A 21,237-nucleotide genomic window follows, 5' to 3' on the forward strand; every position below is an offset into this window, starting at 1 on the left:
GAGATTTTGGGAATAAAAAGAAACACAAAAGAAGCCTGCCCAACACTGGGAAGCCGTTGATATTTACCCAGAGGCAGGCGTGTGGGGATTCTAGGAGAGCTAGATACTGTCATCAAACTGAGGCCCACTATAAGCAGTGTCACCAGAGATGAAGCCATACTGTATGCATGCTCCCAAGGCTGCACTATGTGGCAAAATTCCATTCAGATGGCTTAGCTATTAACAAGTGTTAAGAAAATTATACTAGAAGCACAAGAACTAGTTTTTCTGGATAAAGGTGGAGCAGCTATGGCTGTGAAATTGATAGGCAGCTCTCAACTCAGAACATAAATGTTTAGTGATTTCCTAAGGATCTGGGGTCCTGACTTGATGTGTGATGATTTTTCCTTGAACTGATATATCATATATGAAGATATAAGCAACCTGTAGGAGCTCCATTCACCAATACCATCTGGGACAAGTTGGAAAATGACTATTTTGAGTCAGCACAGAATTGGTGAGCACATGCCACACAACTGCACTGTGTTTAGTTCTAAATAACCATGTAATAAGCACAGTCTGCTCTTAAGAAGCTCTCAATATGGCCTATGAGTTTATAATAGTGCTTAATATTCTCCCTTCAATTTTATGCAGAATATTGCCCTTGAATGTCTCAACAGGATCCATAATGCTGAAAACTTGAGAAAAATCATAGATCTAAGCCCTGCTTCATTCTAGCTTCATTCTAGATGTTCTATTGACCTGAATTTCACATGATGATATATTTCTAGATGAATAAGATTCCTATACTTGTAGCAACACTCTCACCAAGATGCATAAATACATACAGGTCCATGGAAAAAAGTTGTCATGCTCACTTTGAGAACATAATTTGAATGTTACCAGATACAAGGGAGTAAAGGAGACAGAGGGAACTTTGTAGTATGAAGAAGGAACAGACAGGAAAGATCTGTTAGCCTCAAGAAAATGTAGTAAATAGTGAATCTATTATACAGTCTACATAAACAAGTGAAAGAGGAAAAAATATGATTCCTCCTTTCCCTCATCTTCTCATTTCCTACTCTGCCCTCCTTCTGAGTTGGATGGAAGATGTGTCCCCGCACCTTCCTAAGGAGATGGGCCCTGTCTCTAGAATTTTTCTAGTGAGTCCCACTGACTACTCATGCCATCTCTTAGAGCAGTTCTTCAAACAAACACACAGACACACATGCATGTGTGTGTTTCAAGGGGTGTTGTTTGGATCTTATAAATTAAATTGTTATATGTTAAAATGGTGACTTTTCTTTCTATAAATTTCAGGATCTTAGCAGAGTGCAGAAGCTCAGCCTGTTTAGGTTCAGAACTCCGTGCTCTCACGCATTGTCTTTAATCTTCAAAAAAGTGAGTCCTCCATTTGGCCCCAGTCCTGAGGGCCTGACAGTTGGGACTACCCAACTCTCAGATTTCTATTGTCCACAAGTTAAATTCCTCCTGCCTTCTCCAACCCAGTCCAATATATTATCATCTGCCATCAATATGATTTCATTTTCAATCCAATTTGCTTTCTTAGATCTTAATTTGGCTGCCCTTTTCTAAGCCTTTCAACTCGATTCAGAATTTTTTGTCTACTCTTCAGAGAAAAACTATCAACAAAAAATCCTCTGAACAGGAAAGTTATCAATAAAAAATAAACGTAAAATAAGCCCTTTCTGGATAAACAAAAACTGAGTTGATTTCAACTAAGTTGAAACCAAATGACCAAAGATGATCATTTGAATCTACATAAAATGACAAAAGCACCAGTAAAGATAGTCATGTCATTATAGAAGACATTATGCATACATATTCCTTTCTGCTTCTTATTTTCAAAAATGAATGTATTACAATAAAAAATAGAATTGCATTGCTGGAACTATTACAAATATAAATGTAATATATTTACCAATAACTGAACAAAGGAGGTGAGTGATAACAAAGCTGTTTTGGAATGAAGAAATATTCTCTGAAAAAAAAGCTATAAACATCTACATAGAAAAATGAGTAAGAATGCACAATGACACATGCAGTTCTGAGCATTAACAATTATACTTATGCCAATCCAAGGGTCCCAGATTAGAAAACCTAAATCTATCACAGTTCCTTAAATACTCTTTCAAAAAAGAAAAAAAAAAATCTGTGCTGTAGGATATCCCACCTCAGCTGTGATCTTTACCTCTAGGCAGACCTCTGGAAAACCTTCTTATATGCTTTCCTTGAGTGCATCTCACATCAGAAGAGAGAGGAATCATTCCATATTCAAGTTCCTGGCACTCACCCACTCACAGTATTGTGGCTAAAATAGGAACCTATTCCTGTCCTCTTTGAGGACTCAGTTCAGATCATTCACTCACAGACCTCTCATGAGGCCTCATTTTAAAGCTTATGCATGTGGAAATCACCTCCCCTGAGTTTCATCTTTCTAGCATCTCAGGAGACCCCTTGATCTCCCTTCCCTCTCTTCTCTGTTCGGGAGGAACAGGGCCCCACAACTGATGTCCTCGGGATTTTCAGGTGTTTCCTGAAGAATGGGGTGAGGAAAATTTGAAATTCAAAAACCAGCTGATGTAAGATAGGGATACCAGGGCTTGGTTATGTGACCCAAGGAGGCTCAGCATCATAACTTAGTTTATTTGAAAGGGTTAGGGGATATCGGTTGTCTTCAGGGATCATATGTACCTCTACGGGTCCTAGAGCTTATGAATTCCAATTGCGTTTTTGTCTTTCCTGTTACTTTGGTAAAATTTGTTCTTATCTACTGGAACTTCAATGGATCTGTTAATAGTCATGCAGATTCATGACATTCAGCTTTTTTTTTTTTTTTTTTTTTTTTTTTTAGATAGAGTCTCACTCTGTCGCCAGGCTGGAGTGCAGTAGCACAATCTCAGCTCACTGCAAACTCCACCTCCCAGGTTCAAGTGATTCTCCTGCCACAGCCTCCTGAGAAGCTGGGACTACAGTAGCGCGTCACCACACCCAGCTAATTTTTGTATTTTTAGTAGACACGGGGTTTCACCATATTGGCCAGGATGGTCTCGATCTCTTGACCTCGTGATCCACCCTCCTTGGCCTCCCAAAGTGCTGGGATTGCAGGTGTGAGTCACTGCGCCCGGCTGACATTCAGCTTTTTATCTTAAAATTATATTACTTGTAGCTCATTGCCCTTTTTTTTTTTTTTTGCCAGATACACAATGAGGAGCATAGTCTTTATTCACAGAATGTAAATAGTGTGTAATATAAAGAAAATAGTTACCACAAATTTTCATAGCACTATCATTACTGCATAGATGGTAGCATGCTAAAGGGAGCCCACAGAAAGCATCTTTGGGGCAGGGGAAAATTTCTCAAAAGAAATATTATTTAAGCTAATAATTGAAAAACAAGGAAGGTAACAAATATAGTGTTTGTATAAGTGGGGTACAGTTTATAAAGGAAGAAAAAATACACAGGCTATGGGGAAAGAGAAAATATGACAAACTCAAATCAAGAGAATTCTAGCAGAGCCAGAATAACAAAACATGTGAGAAAATTGAACACAAAGAGAATCTGTGGTAGCCTGTTGGTTTTTGTTAATCCAAAATAATGTATTTTTATTATTATTATTATTATACTTTAAGTTTTAGGGTACATGTGCACAATGTGCAGGTTTGTTACATATGTATACATGTGCCATGTTGGTGTGCTGCACCCATTAACTTGTCACTTAGCATTAGGTATATCTCCTAATGCTCTCTCTCCCCCTTCCCCCCACCTCACAACAGTCCCCGGAGTGTGTTGTTCCCCTTCCTGTGTCCATGTGTTCTCATTGTTCAATTCCCACCTATGAGTGAGAACATGCAGTGCTTGGTTTTTTGTCCTTGCGATAGTTTGCTGAGAATGATGGTTTCCAGTTTCATCCATGTCCCTACAAATGACATGAACTCTTCATTTTTTATGGCTGCATAGTATTCCATGGTGTATATGTGCCACATTTTCTTAATTCAGTCTATCATTGTTGGACATTTGGGTTGGTTCCAAGTCTTTGCTATTGTGAATAGTGCCACAGTAAACATACGTGTGCATGTGTCTTTATAGCAGCATGATTTATAATCCGTTGGGTATATACCCAGTAATGGGATGGCTGGGTCAAATGGTATTTCTAGTTCTAGATCCCTGAGGAATCGCCACACTGACTTCCACAATGGTTGAACTAGTTTACAGTCCCACCAAGAGTGTAAAAGTGTTCCTATTTCTCCACATCCTCTCCAGCACCTGTTGTTCCCTGACTTTTTAATGATTGCCATTCTAACTGGTGTGAGATGGTATCTCTTTGTGGTTTTGATTTGCATTGTGACGTGTTAGTTTTAAAGTATGTGTGAAATAATTTTTATTCTTAACATTTTTTTGATGAAGCACAGTGTCTGAAAGGGTGGTAGCCCAATCAAGTGACATTAAAAACCAGAACACAGCTAATGTGAGAAATACAAGTATTTAGGGCCTTAGTCTGCTCCTTGTCTGAGGCAATTCCCATGACCTTCTTAAGGATCAGAATGTAAGAGATAAGGATAAGCACAAAGTCCAAGAAACCAGTTGATGAGACCAGGACTATAGGATAAAGTCTATTAAAGGTGATGTCTGCACAGGCCAGTTTGATCACATCTGGTGCAGGCAGAAAGCATGGGAGAGGACATGGGATTGACAGTAGGGGAATCCAGAGAGGGTGATGATTATGGGCACAATTAGCATAACAAATCCCCTCATTTGAACCCCCAGATCTATCTTCACCACCTTAGCATTGGTGAGAATGGAGGTGTATCTCAGGGGATTATGGATGCCAATAAAACAGTCATGGGCCATGATGAGCAACACTCTGGACTCCACGATAGAGAGGGAGTGGATTAGATAGGCCTGGAGGAAGCAGGCTCCATGGCTCATTTTCCTGTGATCTAGCCAGAGAACACCAAGGACAGTGGACATTGTTGTCAAAGTTACACCAAGGTCTATGGCTGCCAGTATAGTCAGAGAGTAGTACACGGGCTCATGAAGAGTGCAGTCTTCTCTGATAAAGAGGAGGAGGCTGCCATTGCCAAGGACTGTAGAGACATAGATGATAAAGAAGGAGATAGAACTCCAAGGATGAAATCTCTCCAGACCTGGAAAGCCAGTGAGGAGAAAAGGGGCAGCAGTAATGGTGGGTGACATGGTGGATACCTGAGGAGAAACAAACAAACAAAACAGCTCTCTAGACCAGCACTATGTGGTGGAAATATAATTAGAGCTAAATATGTGATGTTAAATGTTCTGGTAGTCACATTAAAAGGAGTAAAAAGAAAAGTGGTAAAATTAATATTAGTATGTCTTATTTAAGCTACTATATCAAAAATATTATCATTTTAATAGATAATCAGCATAAAAATCATATATGAGATAGTTCCCACGATTTTTTTTTGGTACAAATTCTTCAAAATCGAGTGTTTACACTTACAGAAAATTCTGACTCAAGCTAACCAGATGCTACTGTTTTGGACAGCACAGCTCTAGACTATACGACTTCATCCTCAGTTTCGACTCCAGCTGCTTTCTACCACCCTTTCAGACATTGTGCTTCATCAAAAAAATGTTAAGAATAAAAATTATTTCACACATACTTTAAAACTAACACATATATTGGAAAAGAAAGTCTCCTCTCTCACTAGCTATTTTTTAAATGGTGTGATAGGCATAATTTTAAAAACCTTTCTACCACAAGATTTCCTATCCTAATTTCTAGGACTGTGAATATGATACAATATCATGCTTGGGGTTATACAGATGTAATTAAAGTTGCTGATCTATTGACTTTGAGTTAATTGAAAAGGAAATTACTCAGGGGAACCTAGTCTAATTCCATGAGCCCCTAAAAGCAGAGTTTTCACCAAGTAGTAGGAGAATAGGAAGCCAGACATATTCAAAATTTGAGAAAGGTTCATGGGTCAGTTGCTGGTTTGAAATATAAGGAGGTCACAAAAGAAGGAATGCAAGAAGCCCCTAGGTACAGAACGGGCATCCTAGCTAACAGCCTGCAAACAAACAAACAAAAAACAAAAACAAAAACAAACAGGGACTTCAGAGTTCAGCAGTAGGAAACTGAACTCTGACAGCCGGGTGCAATGGCTCATTCAAGCCTGTAATCCCAGCACTTTGGGAGGCCAAGGCGGGCGGATCACCTGAGGTCAGGAGTTCCAGACCAGCCTGGCCAACATGGTGAAATTCCATCCCTACCAAAAAATATAAAAATTAGCCAGGTGTGGTTGCAGTTGCCTGTAGTTCCAGCTACTTGGGAAACTGAGGCAGGAGAATTGCTTGAACCCGGGAGGCACAGGTTGCAGGGAGCAAGAGATTGTGCCACTGCACTCCAGGCTGGGTGACAGAGCGAGACTCCATCTCAAAAAAAAAAAAAAAAAAAAGAAAAAAAAAGAAACTGAGCTCTGACTACAATCTGAATGAACGTGGAAGCGAATTCTTCCCCAGAGCCTTTGGATAAGAGCCCAGCCCTCCCGATATTTTGAATTTGACCTTATGATACCCTAAGCAGAGAACTCAGTTAAGCCTATGAGAGTGCAGACCTATAGAAATGTGATATAATAAACTAATAATGTTTGAAGCAGCTCAAGTTGCAGTAATTTATGTATAACAATAGAAAACTAATGCAAAGTATTACTATTATCCATATTTTATTAAGAGTTTATAGAGTTCTATAATAAACTAATATTTACAGGGTTTATGTAAATTATTGTATCATTTATCTATTATCACAGAATTGTCACATCACAAAGCCCTGTATAGCATCAGTGGCTGACAACATTAAACATTTATTTTTCACTCTAATGCATGGTTCAACTTATTTAGGCTGGGCTTGGCTGGGCAGCACTGATCATTTCTGCACCATCTGCTCAGGTACATAGGGTGCAGCTGTACGTCATCCCTATCCTATTGTTTTCCTGTGTCGTTCTTCCTATATCCATCACCCTTTTGTTGTATCTATTTCTATATTGTCTCTTATTTTGCCCTCTCTAACTAAACCCCAGATGTCTCTTTTGCATCACCCAGACTTTAGCATAAAACTTAGCACAAAATTTTTACTGTTTACATTCTTTTACTAGTCTCTCAGACCTAGTGGCTCTAACTCATTGTAGTAAAAAACACGGTTCTACTCCCACTCCAACACTAACATTGCTTACTTTACTAAGTGTTGTATTAACACACCAATGGCCCTGGAAGCAATGACAGAGTTTGACATATTGATTGTAAGGTTATTTATAAAATTTTAATTACTTTATGATTAACACATTGATCACTAACTGACTGGTATGCTGATTGTTAAACTGACTTAGGTAAGAACAGTGACTTCAAAATATTACTAATATACTAATTGGCTAATATATAAGCTGAAAATGTGGGAGCTACAAAGTAGAGGAGGAAGAAGGCAGAAAGGGAACATAGGTGGATGTAAGATAGAGAAAACTGAGCCTAGAGAACTGCATCAAGAGGAGGAGGAGAGGTAGTATAGAGACCTACAGGTGTCATGGTGACCCCACCCTGCACATTCACTCCCAGAGTCAGTCTCTTTCCTCTCCTGCCTCTTCCAAAGAAAATTTCTATTGTAGGAAAAGTGTTCTTAATAGCGCTGAGCTAACAAGAACTTCTAGATATCAACTCAGAACTCTTAATTATTCATGTAAGCACCCATCACATAAAACTACTGTTTTTATTTCAGAGTTAACATTTGCTAGGAAGTTGAACTTTTATGTTGGAGGTTGATACACCCGGCAGAATCTGTAGATACAGATATCTTGCCTCTTTTCTCTATTTACCCTCTTGCAACAACTATGTGGTGGAAGAGAATCCAAGAAGATTAGTCTTTATTTTCCTCTCAATTACCTTCATTCCATTCTCCCATAGTCACTAGAGCCTGACCTGGGGTATCAGAAATTAAGGGGAGAGGTAATTGCTGAGTCCTGGTGTAGAAATTGGTTTAAATGGTATCTCTGAAGACTGCTAACAGGGTTAATTTGTGAGGTTATTTGTATTCAAAATTGTTCCCCAGTATCTGTCTTGATGCTGGATAATTAGGCTACTGGGATATTTTTTTTCAAGCCTCCTTTGGAGAAGGAAGTGGGCTCCAGAACTGTGTTCTTAAAGCCCCATATTTTCTTTGCAAAAAGAAAACAGAATTGTAGCTTCATCCAGCACATGGAAGTCATGCTATCTAACTACCTTTGCCTTGTATGATTCCCCACCTCAAAAAGAAGATACCGTGAAGCCTACTTTTGTTATTCCTTAACCCTGTAGCCAATAAGCTCACTCAACTTAGACAAAGCTTAATAATCCCTCACACTTAATCTTTTCTTGGTTTCAAATAAGATTGTTTGTTATATATACTCACAAATGAGTGCTGCTGATAAGTTCTTTCAAACAGTAAGCTTGTTTTCTGTCTCTTGGTAAGTCTTGCCCAAGAATCAGAGTTACTGCTTCTGGAGCAATATAAATCAAGTTTAAAAAATTTTATTTAAGTGTCCTGTAGTAATGTTAAAAAGGGGACATGGTGGAGGTATTCTTTAATCCCTGGCTTTGTCTGACAATTTGTACTTGAATACAATCATCTCATAGTCTGTCAGAGAAATAAGGATCTGAGAATTTCTATTGTCTCATCAGTCTTAAATCCTAAATTTATCCTGGAACTTAGCCCAACTATGAGATTTTAAAATGAGTATGGGTGCAATGTGGTGAACCATGAGGGTCACATTTTGGTGCCTGACATTTCACATCAGTTAAGTTCCTCCTGAACTGCATTCTGCTCATAGGTCTTCCTAAATGTAAGCAGAATAGTAGTAGGAAATCATGATTAAAAGTCAGTCTCTGGAAATGGCTTAAGTCTGAAAATTTGTGTGTCCTCTTTGTACTAAGTTAAAATTTAGGTCTGGATTGATTTAGGGGAGCCATGCTTTGAACTTAAAATGAGGTGAGGTAGTAAGACCCTGAGATAACTGATTTAATTTCAGGCTGCCCTCCCATTTCATTAGTAGGTATATTGACCCTCTCACTGGCAGTACACGAATCTTCTGCCCCATAAATATGACTCTATTCCTGGAAACATCACTTATCTTAGAACAGATATAAAGTAATTTCCTGCAGACTGCCCCAGAGTTGGGATAAAATCTCATGTGAAGTGACACTGTTGGTGGAGGATAAGCCTCCAGAGAATGGGAACAACTATTATCAGCCAACACTCAAAGTCACCAAGCTTAGGGGCACTGGGAGGAAGTAGGCAGGGCACCCAAAATATCTTCTATTTCCTTAAATAGCCATTGATGTGTCTCTCATTCATGTATTTTCTAAGACCTTGTTCATTCTTTTCATATTTCCTGCTGTATTGCCTGTGAAGTAAAGTATCATGTCACAGCAGCATAATCTCAGATTGGGAAGGACCTCCATCTCCTGTAATAAAAGCCTTCTTTGATGCAGTGTTTCCTGACAAGGGTCATCCGCTGAGTGCCTGTCTCTTTCTAAATCACATAACACAATATTTATTAGAATATCTGTGCTGAAAATACTCAGGCAGCCACATTATTAGAAATTACCTAACTTTTTAAAATGAAAATATTTTTCTGGTCTTCCTATTCCTTGGCTCTTGGTCTGAGCTCTGGCATCACAGTCTATATCTAACTGCTGCCTTATATTACATATGGCATATAGGAAGGCAACATTCAAGTATAATAAGCTTATATCGCTAACGATTCAGGAAGGTCTCTATCCTAGGATTTTTGCTGTTTGTTGAGTAAGTCTGTGCTGACAATACCAGCTTCTTTTTTTTTTTTTTCTGTGTAGTTTGATTCTATTATCTGTCAGCCTTCTGGATTCCACAATTATCTCCGAAGATTCCATCCTTTAACTCATCCTCTACAGGCTCTGATGGTTAATTTTATATGCCAATTTGACTGGGCCATGGGGTGCCCAAATATTTGTCAAACATTATTCTAGATGTTTTTGTGAGGGTGTTTTTAGGCAAGATTAACATTTAAATCGGTAGACCAAGTAGAGCAGATGGTCCTTCCTATTGCAGGCGGCTTCCTCCAATCAGTTGAAAACCTGAATAGAACAAAAAGTCTGACCCTTCCCCAAATCAGAGAGAATTATTCCTTATTGATGGCCTTCAAACTGGAATCTAGACCTTTTTTTCTGCCTTTAGATTGAACTGAAACATCAAAACTTCCTGGGTCTGAAGCCTGATGGCTTTTGGGTTGCAAGTACACCATCAATCCTCCTGTTTCCCAGGCCTTCAGACTTGGACTGGGACTAAACTACCAGGCTCTCTTGAGTTTTCAACTTGATGACTCACTCTGCATATCTTGGGACTTGCCTTCCTCCATAATCACATCTGCTATTTCCTTATATTAGGTTGGTGCAACAGTAATTGCAGTTTTTGCCATTATTTTTTTTTAATGCAGTGAATTACATTTATTAATTTCCATATTTTTATGTACATTCAATTTTTTTAATTTTTAAGTTCTGAGGTACATGTGCAGGATGTGCAGGTTTATTACATACGTAAATGTGTGCAATGGTGGTTTGCTGTACCTATCAACCCATCACCTAGGTGTTAAGCCCAGCATGCATTAGCTATTTTTTCTAATGCTCCCCTTCACCACACCCCATGCCCTGACAGGCTCCAGTGTGTGTTCTTCCCCTCACTGTTTCCATGTGTTCTCATTCTCATTGTTCAGCTCCCACTTCTAAGTGAGAACATGTGGTGTTTGGTTTTCTGTTCCTGCATTAGTTTACTGAAGATAATGGCTTTCGGCTCCATCCATGTCCCAGCAAAGGGCATGATCTCATCCCTTTTTATGGTTAGATAGTATTTCATGGTTTATATGTACCACATTTTTTAAATTGTCTATCATTGATGGCCATTTGGGTTGATTCTATGTCTTTGCTATTGTGAATAGTGCTACAATGAACATACATGTGCATGTATCTTAGTAATAGAATGATTTATACTCCTTTAGGTATATACCCAGTAATGGGATTGTGAGGTCAAATGGTATTTCTGGTTCTAAATCTTTGAGGAATTGCCACACTGTCTTCCACAATGGTTGAATTAGTTTACAGTCCCACCAACAGTGTAAAAGTGTTCCTATTTCTCTGCAACCTTGCTAGCATCTGTTGTTTCTTGACTTTAAAAACCACCATTCTGACTGGTGTCAGATGGTATTTCATTGTGGTTTTGATTTGCATTTCTCTAATGATCAGTGACATTGAGACTTTTTTCGTATGTTTCTTAGCCACATAAATGTCTTCTTTTGAGAAGTGTCTGTTCATGTCCTTTGCCCACTTTTTAATGGGGTTGTTTGTGTGTTTCTTTTGTAAATATGTCTAAGTTCCTCATAGATTCTGGATATTAGACCTTTGTCAGATGGGTAGATTGCAGAAATTTTCTCCCATTCTGTAGGTTGCCTGTTCGCTCTGATGATAGTTTATTTTGCTGTTTAGAAGCTCTGTATTTAATTGTATTTTTCTTTATTTTGAGATGAAGTCTCACTCTTTCACCCATGCTAGAGTGCAGTGGTGCGATCTCAGCTCACTGCAACCTCTGCCTCCTGGGTTCAAGCAATTCTCCTGCCTCAGCCTCCTGAGTAGCTGAGATTACAGGTACGCACCACCATACCCAGCACATTTTTTGTATTTTTAGTAGAGATGGAGTTTCACCATGTTGGCCAGGCTGCTCTTATACTCCCCACCTCAAGTGATCCACCCACCTTGGCCTCCCAAAGTGCTGGGATTACAGGCGTGAGCCACCATGCCCGATCTCTTTAGTTTAATTAGATCTCATTTGACAGTGTTTGCTTTTGTTGCAATTGTTTTTGACATTTTCATCATGAAATCTTTGCCTGTGTCTATGTCCGGAATGGTATTGCCTAGGTTTTCTTCTAAAGTTTTTATAGTTTTGGGTTTTACACTTAAGTCTTTAATGCATCTTGAGTTAATTTATGTATAAGATGTAAGGAAGGGGTCCAGTTTCAATTTTCTGCATATGGCTAGCCAGTTCTCCCAGCACAATTTATAAAATAGGGAATCCCTTCCCCATTACTTGTTTTTACCAGGTTTGTTGAAGATCAGATTGTTTCAGATGCGCGGTCTTACTTCTGAGTTCTCCATTCTGTTCCATTAGTCAGTGTGTCTGTTTGGTATCAGTACCATGCTGTTTCAGTTAGTTACTGTCACCTTGTAGTATAATTTGAAGTTGGGTAAATCCTGTTGATTCTATTTTTCTGGAGAACCATGACTAACATAGGGCCATCTATTTTTGAGGCACTTTGTGACTAATCACTGTCATCTGTCAGTTTGGTGGCATGTACTTGAAATCTAGGGACATAAACTCCTAAATTTCCCATAAAATAAATTTTGTCTATGAGTTTATTAATAACAATGACTGTGTCTAAGGATTTAGGCTATAAAATCAAAAACAGATTTACATTCTTTAATTGGACATGGAGACCTCTGGGTCCTTAATCATTTCTAATCATCCTTGCTGCCCAATTTAATACTCATATAATCTAGTAAGTATCTTTAAATATATCACCTTTCATTTACCCTATAAAAATCTGCATCTCTGGTGAAGGAACCCAGCAATTATTTGTTAATGAGAGGAATAAAGTTCATCTTCCCCTTATCTAGTATAAATTCATTTTATATGGGAGGAAAAGTGATCTGTAAACTCATTAGACCATACATATTTTTTCAGTGTGTCTCTAAGATTCTTCCACGTCTTCTTAATCATTTCTAAGATTGGCTTAGTCTACAGAAATGCACACTTAGCCTTTCATTTCCTGACTCAAATTAAATATTCTTATGGTATGTTATCCCTTCAAGCCCATACTACACAAGTATATTATTATTTGAAAAAGAAAGGATGGTATTTGGCAAGGGCTTTTTTTAATGTATATTCTTTTACACCTTAGATTTCCCATAACTACATGGTACTTATTTATCTTAATAGGCACCATGAAATTTATTCCTCATGAGGTCCTTCTCTATATAAGTTATATTCTTCTTTCAGTCTTGAATGATGAAAAGCTGAATTACAGGCTTCACCTGCTGTAAGAAGGTGGTTCACCAGTTTGTTAGTCCACTGGACCACTCTGAATTCTACTCTTCTTATGAATACAAATTCATGTGCAGTGTTTCCTAGGAGATAGTGTTATAAATAGGCTTCTTTTCCTAACTAACTTTTATTTTAGGTTCAGGAGTACAAGAGCAGGTCTGTTACATATTTAAACTTGTGTCACGAGGGTTTGTTGTACAGATTATGTCATCACTCACTCAGGTATTAAGCCTAGTACCCTTTTGTTACTTTTCCTGATCCTCTCCCTCCTTTCACCCTCCATCCTCCAATAGGCCCCAGTGTGTGATGTTCCCCTCCATGTGTCCATGTGTTCTCATCATTTAGCTCCCACTCATAAGTGAGAACACGTGGTATTTGGTTTTCTGTTCCTGTATTAATTTGCTAAGGCTTCTAATAGTACATAGCATTTTACCACAGGAAGACTTGTAGGAGATCACAGAAAGTTCTAAATTTTATGATAATACTAACATACTGTGTTTATGTTGATTGTTACAATGGGTTTTGAATAGAAAAACATGTCTGAGTGGATTTCCACCATGTAGCCTTCTGTATAACTAAGTTTGAGATAATTATTTAGTCTTCCCCCCACCTCCGATGTCCTGTGTCTGTATTCATCCTACAGCATCTTCTCAGTGAATTTAGTTTCACACTTACTTTCAAGTCAGAAATGAACTTCTTAAACAAGGGAAATAACTTCATAAATCATTCACCAAATGGTCAACTTTCCTGCCATTTTTAGGTTCCATTTCCTGTATTTTAGAAAAAGAGGCAGCTCTTCTACCTAACAGTATTTTCCAGTTTTAAATATTAGTTAGAGAAGATTCACATATCTATAACTGAGATGATATAATTATTAATAGCCTTTGGTTATAAGTGAAACTCAACTGAAACTAGGCTGAACAAAACAAATTACAAGAAGAGGAGTTTATTAGGCTGTGGAATCAAAAAAAAGATTCAAACTGTCCTCCTTGTCACTGAGTCTCAGGAAAACATGGAATCAGAGATTTGAAGATTCTTTTTATTTATTATCATTTCTTTATCTATAATTTACTCTAAATATTTATTATAGTTTGAAGTCACTTGCCTGATGAAAAACATTGTCATTAACAATTCTAAGCATTGCATTTTAGTAATTCTACAACAAAAGCATTACTCTTTTTTTTTTTGCAATGTCATATTGAAAAATTCTTTTTAAAAAAGTTCTTCTACTGCGGTTAGGAGTTTGGAGATACAATGCAAAATATCAGTTTTCATAGGGAACAATATTTTTGGAGTAGAAGGAGGAGAAATTTTCAGAAAAAGAAAGTAGGTACTACAAGCATGACGGAATACAAGGCAAAAAGTAGAAGCCACTAAGGATAGTCTACTGTAGTGGAGTACCATTCACACTGGCCTTATAGTTAGAAGATATAAATTTGAATCATGACTATACCAATTAAAAATGTTATGCCCTTGGAGGGAATATTTAACTTTTTTATATTAAATTTCCCCATCAAGAAAACAGTGATAATATCTACCCCACAATATTTTTATGAATAAAATAAGTTGTGGATGTAGTAGAGCATAATTAAGGGACACATGTTTGGTTTTATGAATGATTGAAAACAGGACAAAAACCTACCATCACATATATGCACTCACACTCACAATTTAGTATTCAGACTGTGTTGCTCAGGTGACATGGCGTGACAAGGATAAAAAACATGATAAAGCTGATTTTTTTATATGTTCAGTTCTTTCACAATTACATCTCTTAATGAAACAGAATATAAATAAGGATTGCAGTTTTTCTTAAGTTGGACTCTCTATGAGCAATACCTGAGATAGGGATTCAAATGTGTGCAATTTATTAATGAATGCTCTCAGGAGACAGGGAGCAAGTAAAAGCAGTGTGGACAGGGGAAGGAGGTAAGCAAGTGCATACTGAAGCTGGAGCTTAGCTTCAGAAGGCAAGAGGGTCAGTATTTGCCTATGGCCTGCTACCTAAGGAGCAGGGGCCATTTTCTTCATAAGACATTTCCTGCTGAGTTGAGAACAACAACCTGCAGAAAGCAGAAACATGAACAATGAGCAGCCAACATTCACAGGTGCACAATTCTGTAAAATGATCGGGGTAAAACACCAAAGACATAAACAATATCTTCTATATAGTCCCCTCTCTTGTCTCACTGAAGTATTATTTTTGCTCTGATTAAAGTATAATTAAGACATAACCTCCCTCTTTTTAGGATATTTTAAATTGAGTTATGGGTCCCTTCCTAACTCATCAGACAATTTTAATCAAATGAGAATGACATTGTTGTATTCTTTGGGAAATTTACACTTATTACATGGAATCAGAATGTATGTACAGAAAGCAATCATTCTTCAAAAAAATGCAGAAACCTATTTTTTTTTGTTCCTTCAGACCTTTTTCATAGCAAAAGGAGGGTGAAGGAACTGTCTCTTCCACTAATTTGGACTAGTCAGCCAGCGTAGATATCTGAGGATGGCCTCAACATTGGAGCTAGCAACTAGGGTAGTAGAATAAGAATGAGAGCAAGATAGAAGGAGGTACTGACTGTGTCTACGTCCTCTCATTTATCCGTGATTCCTCTTCTCACATTTTTTTGTTACAAGTTTGTCAGAAGGTACTGCCTTGGGGAATAAATATGAGTTTATGGTTTTTGAGACAAATTCATTATAATTTGATGGAGGGAGGAGGAACCAACTAGACTGTTGAGATGATAAGTAATTAGGTCACTGATCAAAGAAGATTATATTCTTTTTTGCAGGAAAATTCCTGGACTTCAGTGACCAAATTTATAGGTTCCCATTGTTTGTATGGACACCTGCAGAGAAATTCATAAGAGTTGGAAATTAGATTTGACATAGTAAACCAAACTCTATTCCATTTCACTCGAACCAACTAATAATTTTATATTTTTATGATTCTGTTCCTATCTGCTAACTTTATACCATGAAATAAACATATGTTAGTTACATTATAGACATACCAATAGATGCCTAAGGTATTGTTATCACAATAATTTAGTGGAAAGCTTAGAGAAATATTCCGTTTACAGGAATGCAACAAAAATTTGTACAAACTACATTTAGCTAAAGAGTTGGGCTTAAAGAGATACCTTAGGGAAACTTGAAGCTGTATTTTAACACCTATTTTACCAAGTCATATGAGCATGCATGCTAGATATGAGACTTCTTTGCTCTCCTGCTAAATATTAGAGTTTTTACATTCTGTGAGAGTGACTGTGATGATTGGAGATCAGGTTCCAATTCTATGGGTAGTAAAAAGGTGAAGAATGGCATTCTGAATCTGCTTGGTCTTGACACTATATGTTATAGGATTCATTAGTGGAGGGAACAGAAAATAGGCATAGCTCATAATGAGGTGAACAATATGTGGAACCTGCTTTCCAAAACGATGAATCAGAGACAATCCAATCACTGTGACATAAAAAACCAGGACACAGCAGATATGGGAGACACAGGTAATGAGAGCCTTGGCCCTCTCCTCTCTGGAGGCAATGCTCAGGACAGTCTTGAGTATCAACACATAGGAGATGAAGATAATCAGATAATCCAGCACAAATATAAAGACTACAAGCACAGCTGGGTACAGTCGGTTGAAGGTGGTATCAGCACAGGCGAGTTTAATGACATCCTGGTGAAGGCAGAATGCATGTGAAAGAACATGGGAGTGACAATACAGAAAAAAATAGAGGGGCCTGATTGGGGGAACAACGGATACAAATCCCCTCATCAGAACTCCCAGCCCAATCTTCACTACTCGAGTATTAGTAAGTACAGAGGTATATCTAAGAGGGTTGCAGATGGCAATAAAACGGTCATAGGCCATGGCAAGCAGAATGCCAGACTCGAGAAAGGAAAGTGAGTGTATAAAGTAGGCCTGGGAAAAGCAGGCCGCACTTCCAATCTCCCTGTGATCCAGCCAGAGGACTCCCAGCACCGTGGGCATTGTGGTCAGGGCCAGCCCCAGGTCTGTGGCAGCCAGCATGGCCAGAAAGAAGTACATGGGCTCATGAAGATTGTGATCTTCCTTAATGAGAAGAAGGAGGGTGCCATTGCCAAAAAGGATGGATATATACATGAACAAGAAAAATACGGAAATCCAGTGATGAGCTTCCTCCAAGCCTGGAAAACCAGTCAATAGGAAGGGATGGGAGCTGCCGCTGGACGACATCCTGGGTTTATATAGAAGAAATGTCTTTCTGTTTCTGTTATTACCACAGTGCACAGTTCTACCTTCAAGGTATCACTTCGACTATATCATTCTCAGAATTTTTTCCTAAAGATAATAATGACATCAATATAAGTGATTGTTTCTCAAAATACATTCTCAGGGTTACTCATACTATTTGTATTCTTAACTGCACATTCCAGGATCTATCTCCTACCTACGTAATCAAATTCTTGGAGTTTCAACTGTTTATATGCATTTAAGCATTCTCTTCAGAAAAAAAATTATGTAAACTACAACTTCTAAACTGTTACCCTTAACTATGCAGATTTTAAAGAATTCGTATTCTATGGGGCATTCAAGGGGATTTCCAGAAAGCTAACACTAATTTTTTTCTGGTCTACCACCTAAACCTGTAATTGCCTTCACAGTAGTGATCCCTAATCCACATTTTCCTGCATGTAAAGACTTACCTGAATTATCAGCTAAAGTCTCAACAGCCTAAGAAAGAAAAGTGTGGGAAGAGAAACTCTGCCACTACCACTGTAGCTAAGGAGCAGTCAGATTGAGAAAGAGACACTTGGCCTCCAGATTTCATGGACTAGTGATGGGGAACAGACATTCACGATTAGTGTGAATTACCCTCTTGTAGAATCCTTCAGTACTACTCACTACTTGTGACAATAGCTCAGTCTAATTATAAGTTAGACTTTGGGGCTGGAATAAATGATTAGGCCAGCCAAAGACATCACTTATAATAGTGTATCTCCTTCAGTTTAAACATCTTACTGTTTCTTATTTACAAGTAGTGTCTTTTTCTTTTTAAATTATTTTTCTATAGGCCTACTGAAGTAATTCCCTAGAATCTGACCTCTCTCATTTCAAGTTCTCCATTTATATTTAAACATCCATCTTCCTGGTTTCCTTCCCTTTATCCCCAGCCATAGGCTTCTGAATCTGTTCTCCCCAATACTGAGTGAGAGCTATTTCCCTGCTTAAACGTGGTGCTGTCTTTTACTGAAGAGAAGAGATTAGTCCTTTGAGAAGGTTTTAATATTCCTTCTGCCACTAGACTAGGGGCTTCTTGCATATAGACATGGTGTTTATTTGCTTTGCTCAACACCTTGCAAAGTATCTAACATGTGACTGATAAACATTTCTTAGTTCACCTAATATTTGTGAACACGCATCATGTGACAGCCATGATATTTAAAGCTCTCTGGAATTAAATGGTAATAAGACAAAGTCCCTAATCTTATAAACCATAAATTAAGTTGAAAAATAAATAAGACAATTTTAAACAAATATAAATGCAAGTTTAACATAAAACAGTACTACTTGATGTAGATTAATTGGATGGTATTGTATACAAGATAGTATAGCAGTTTGAGGGGCCTAGAACTGCACCTATGAGGAGGTCCCATTTGAACTGAGACCTCAATACAAAAGAAAACCTGACCGTATACAGACCTAGAGGAAAACTGTTCCAGAGGGAAAATCAGCATGACTGGCATTTGATAAGAAAACAGGAGAGGGACAATAGATGATGTCAAAGAAGCAGGTAGTAATCAAGTGTCATAGGGCCTTACAGACCACCACGGAATTTTTGTTTTGTTTTGTTTTCTTCTTACTATAAATGTAGTAAAGACATTAGGACACTTTGAAAATCACAATGGAAAATAGTGTGGTGATATATTCTGATTTGTATTTTTAAATTACTCACTTAGACTGCTATGTGAAGAAGACTAAGCAAGAGACAAGAAAAGAGATGAGTTAGAAAGCTATTTTAAAAATCCATATGAAGAGTCATGGTGACCTTGACTAGGAGAGAAGCAGGGGAAATGAAAAAAAGAGAAAAATAGAAAAACTTAAACAGAGACAGATGCATTTTTGAAGTAGTGCCAAGATTTGCTGATATATTAAAAATGGGAGTGAGGGAAAAATCAAATGAGGTTTCCCCTAGATTTCTGTTTGAACAAATGAAAGAATGGTGAAGCCATTTACTCAAAATGGAAGTCTGAGGGGGATACATATTCACTTGTGAGGAAATCAAGAGTCATTAGTAAATATAGCTGAATTAGAGCAAATGCATCCCTTGCTTTTTTTTCTTGTCACATGCCAGAACAACTTCTTGAAGTTGTTTTTATCCTAAGTTAAAAAGATGGTCGTATCCAAATATACCCCTTCAGAGTTACTTTGTCAGTGTAAGGCACTACCCTAAAGATGCCACCAAAGGAAACGATCCTCTTACCTTCCACCCATAGAGATGAGATCTAACTGTAATAGTTTCAGTGAAGAGATGCCAGACAACTGGGCGTGAGGCAACAACTCAGCACTTTGAAAGAATCATTTTTCAGCATCCATATTCTGTCCTAGGACTGAGAGACATAAACCAGAATTCAGTGCCTACTGAACATACAATGAGTGATGTATATTCTTCAGTTACTAGACGCAAAGATAATCCAGCTTAGCTCCTCCCCTTCTGTGTTCTATGTACTTCATTTCTCTGTCAACACTCTTACTTCTCTGACGTTTCAGCAATAATCTCCTTTAACCTAATCTTTCACTGTATCTCAACTTTGTGAAAAATTCCTTCTTATCAGAGAATATGCAGCACAAGTGATGAATCACTACAGGGAAAGCTAACCAAACTGTAAGGCAATGATTGTATTTTGCCAATAATAACCTGCAACTTAAAGTTTCCTCCTTCTCCATTCCCAAGAATTCCATGCAGACATACCTGGTAATGCAGCTATAATAGTGATCTATGGAATCACTCTACTTTGTTTTGTGAAAATTCTTGTGTCCTCAGCTAGTCGTGGCTCTTGGTTTCTGAGAAGAAAGACAATGAGAGAAGAGATAAAAGCTGAGGAAAAAAAATATAGGGAAGGAAAGAGATCATAAAGACTGAGGATAGAAGCAAGAAGATTCTATAATGGAACACCTAGAAAATCAGATAAACTTCTAACATTTACAGCCATAATTTTTCTCTGCTTTGTTTAAAAAGTAAAATGTAGTAGAATAAGAGGTGCCTTCCTGTTCATCTTTTAGAAAGGAAAGAAGACATATGAGAGGGTCAATCATATTCACATCACTGAGTACAGAAGGTCTTAGGTAGTTGGTTGGTAGCACTTGGAATTGCTTTTGAAGTTCTATCAACTTCAGACTGAAATCTGTGCACACATCCAAAGCTGTGGACTATTGAGATCCTTCACTTCTTCTCCGTATCTTTCTCTGGAGAGCTTATAGAGGAGTCTCCTAGTACACTCTTTATATATCTAGGAGTATTTCACCATACTCCCAGGTACCATAACTTGTTTGATGGTGAGGAAGAGCAGGGTTCTTGTGTCTTACCTAAAGACTTAGATCATGTTGTTCCTTCTCAACATCTGTGAAGAGAAGCAGTCACTGTGGTTATTAATAAAGATAGCACCTTCCCAGATGTCTCCCTTTTATAGCCAACTTGGATCTTAAGAAATATTTACTCTGTATTAACTCCTCCTTAGAGGGAGCTGGAACACTTAATTAGTCCCCCCAAGCTTTTAAATAATCTTTCTTTTTTCAAATAAGTTACTGGCTGAATCAAGCCACTGGTAGGACCTTTATGTGTGGGGAATCAGACAGCCTGTCTTCATAGCCCCAGCAGACTCTGGTATCACCTCTGGGAGGTAATTTATTCCCTACATTTACTTCAACAGTCAAATCTTTCCCAGTTTATCTCAAGAGAAAGCCTATATATCTTCTTGGCCTATGTAACCTGAATTTCTACTATATTTCCTGCTTGGTTTAGATCAGAGAAAGCTTGAAAGCAGAGAGCTAGATAGACTAGAGTCAATATAATAAAATTCAGGCAGCCTTCTCTAGTACCCAACGTGAACGC

At 38.0% G+C, this 21,237-nt stretch overlaps 1 protein-coding gene and 1 pseudogene across 3 annotated transcripts in view; both read right to left on the reverse strand.

The window, feature by feature from the left end:
- Positions 4,424-5,181, reverse strand: OR51B8P (olfactory receptor family 51 subfamily B member 8 pseudogene; annotated as a pseudogene).
- Positions 14,154-21,237, reverse strand: part of OR51B5 (olfactory receptor family 51 subfamily B member 5) — a 165,335-nt gene continuing 158,251 nt past the window's right edge. The window contains exons 2-5 of one of the 3 annotated variants that reach the window (NR_038321.2): positions 20,712-20,746; positions 20,098-20,189; positions 19,609-19,735; positions 14,154-15,198 (exon numbers count right to left, since the gene is read on the reverse strand). Coding sequence is in view for 2 of the 3 variants with exons in the window: in NM_001005567.3 (NP_001005567.2) it covers positions 16,422-17,360 (939 nt within the window). In the remaining variant the exon portion in view is untranslated. Of the gene's footprint in view, positions 15,199-16,349; positions 17,466-19,608; positions 19,736-20,097; positions 20,190-20,711; positions 20,747-21,237 lie in introns of those variants that run through there. The other 2 variants (NM_001005567.3, NM_001395252.1) reach the window with 2 other exon arrangements.

This window comes from Homo sapiens, chromosome 11, assembly GCF_000001405.40.
Source record: "Homo sapiens chromosome 11, GRCh38.p14 Primary Assembly".
Taxonomy (NCBI): Eukaryota; Metazoa; Chordata; class Mammalia; order Primates; family Hominidae; genus Homo; species Homo sapiens.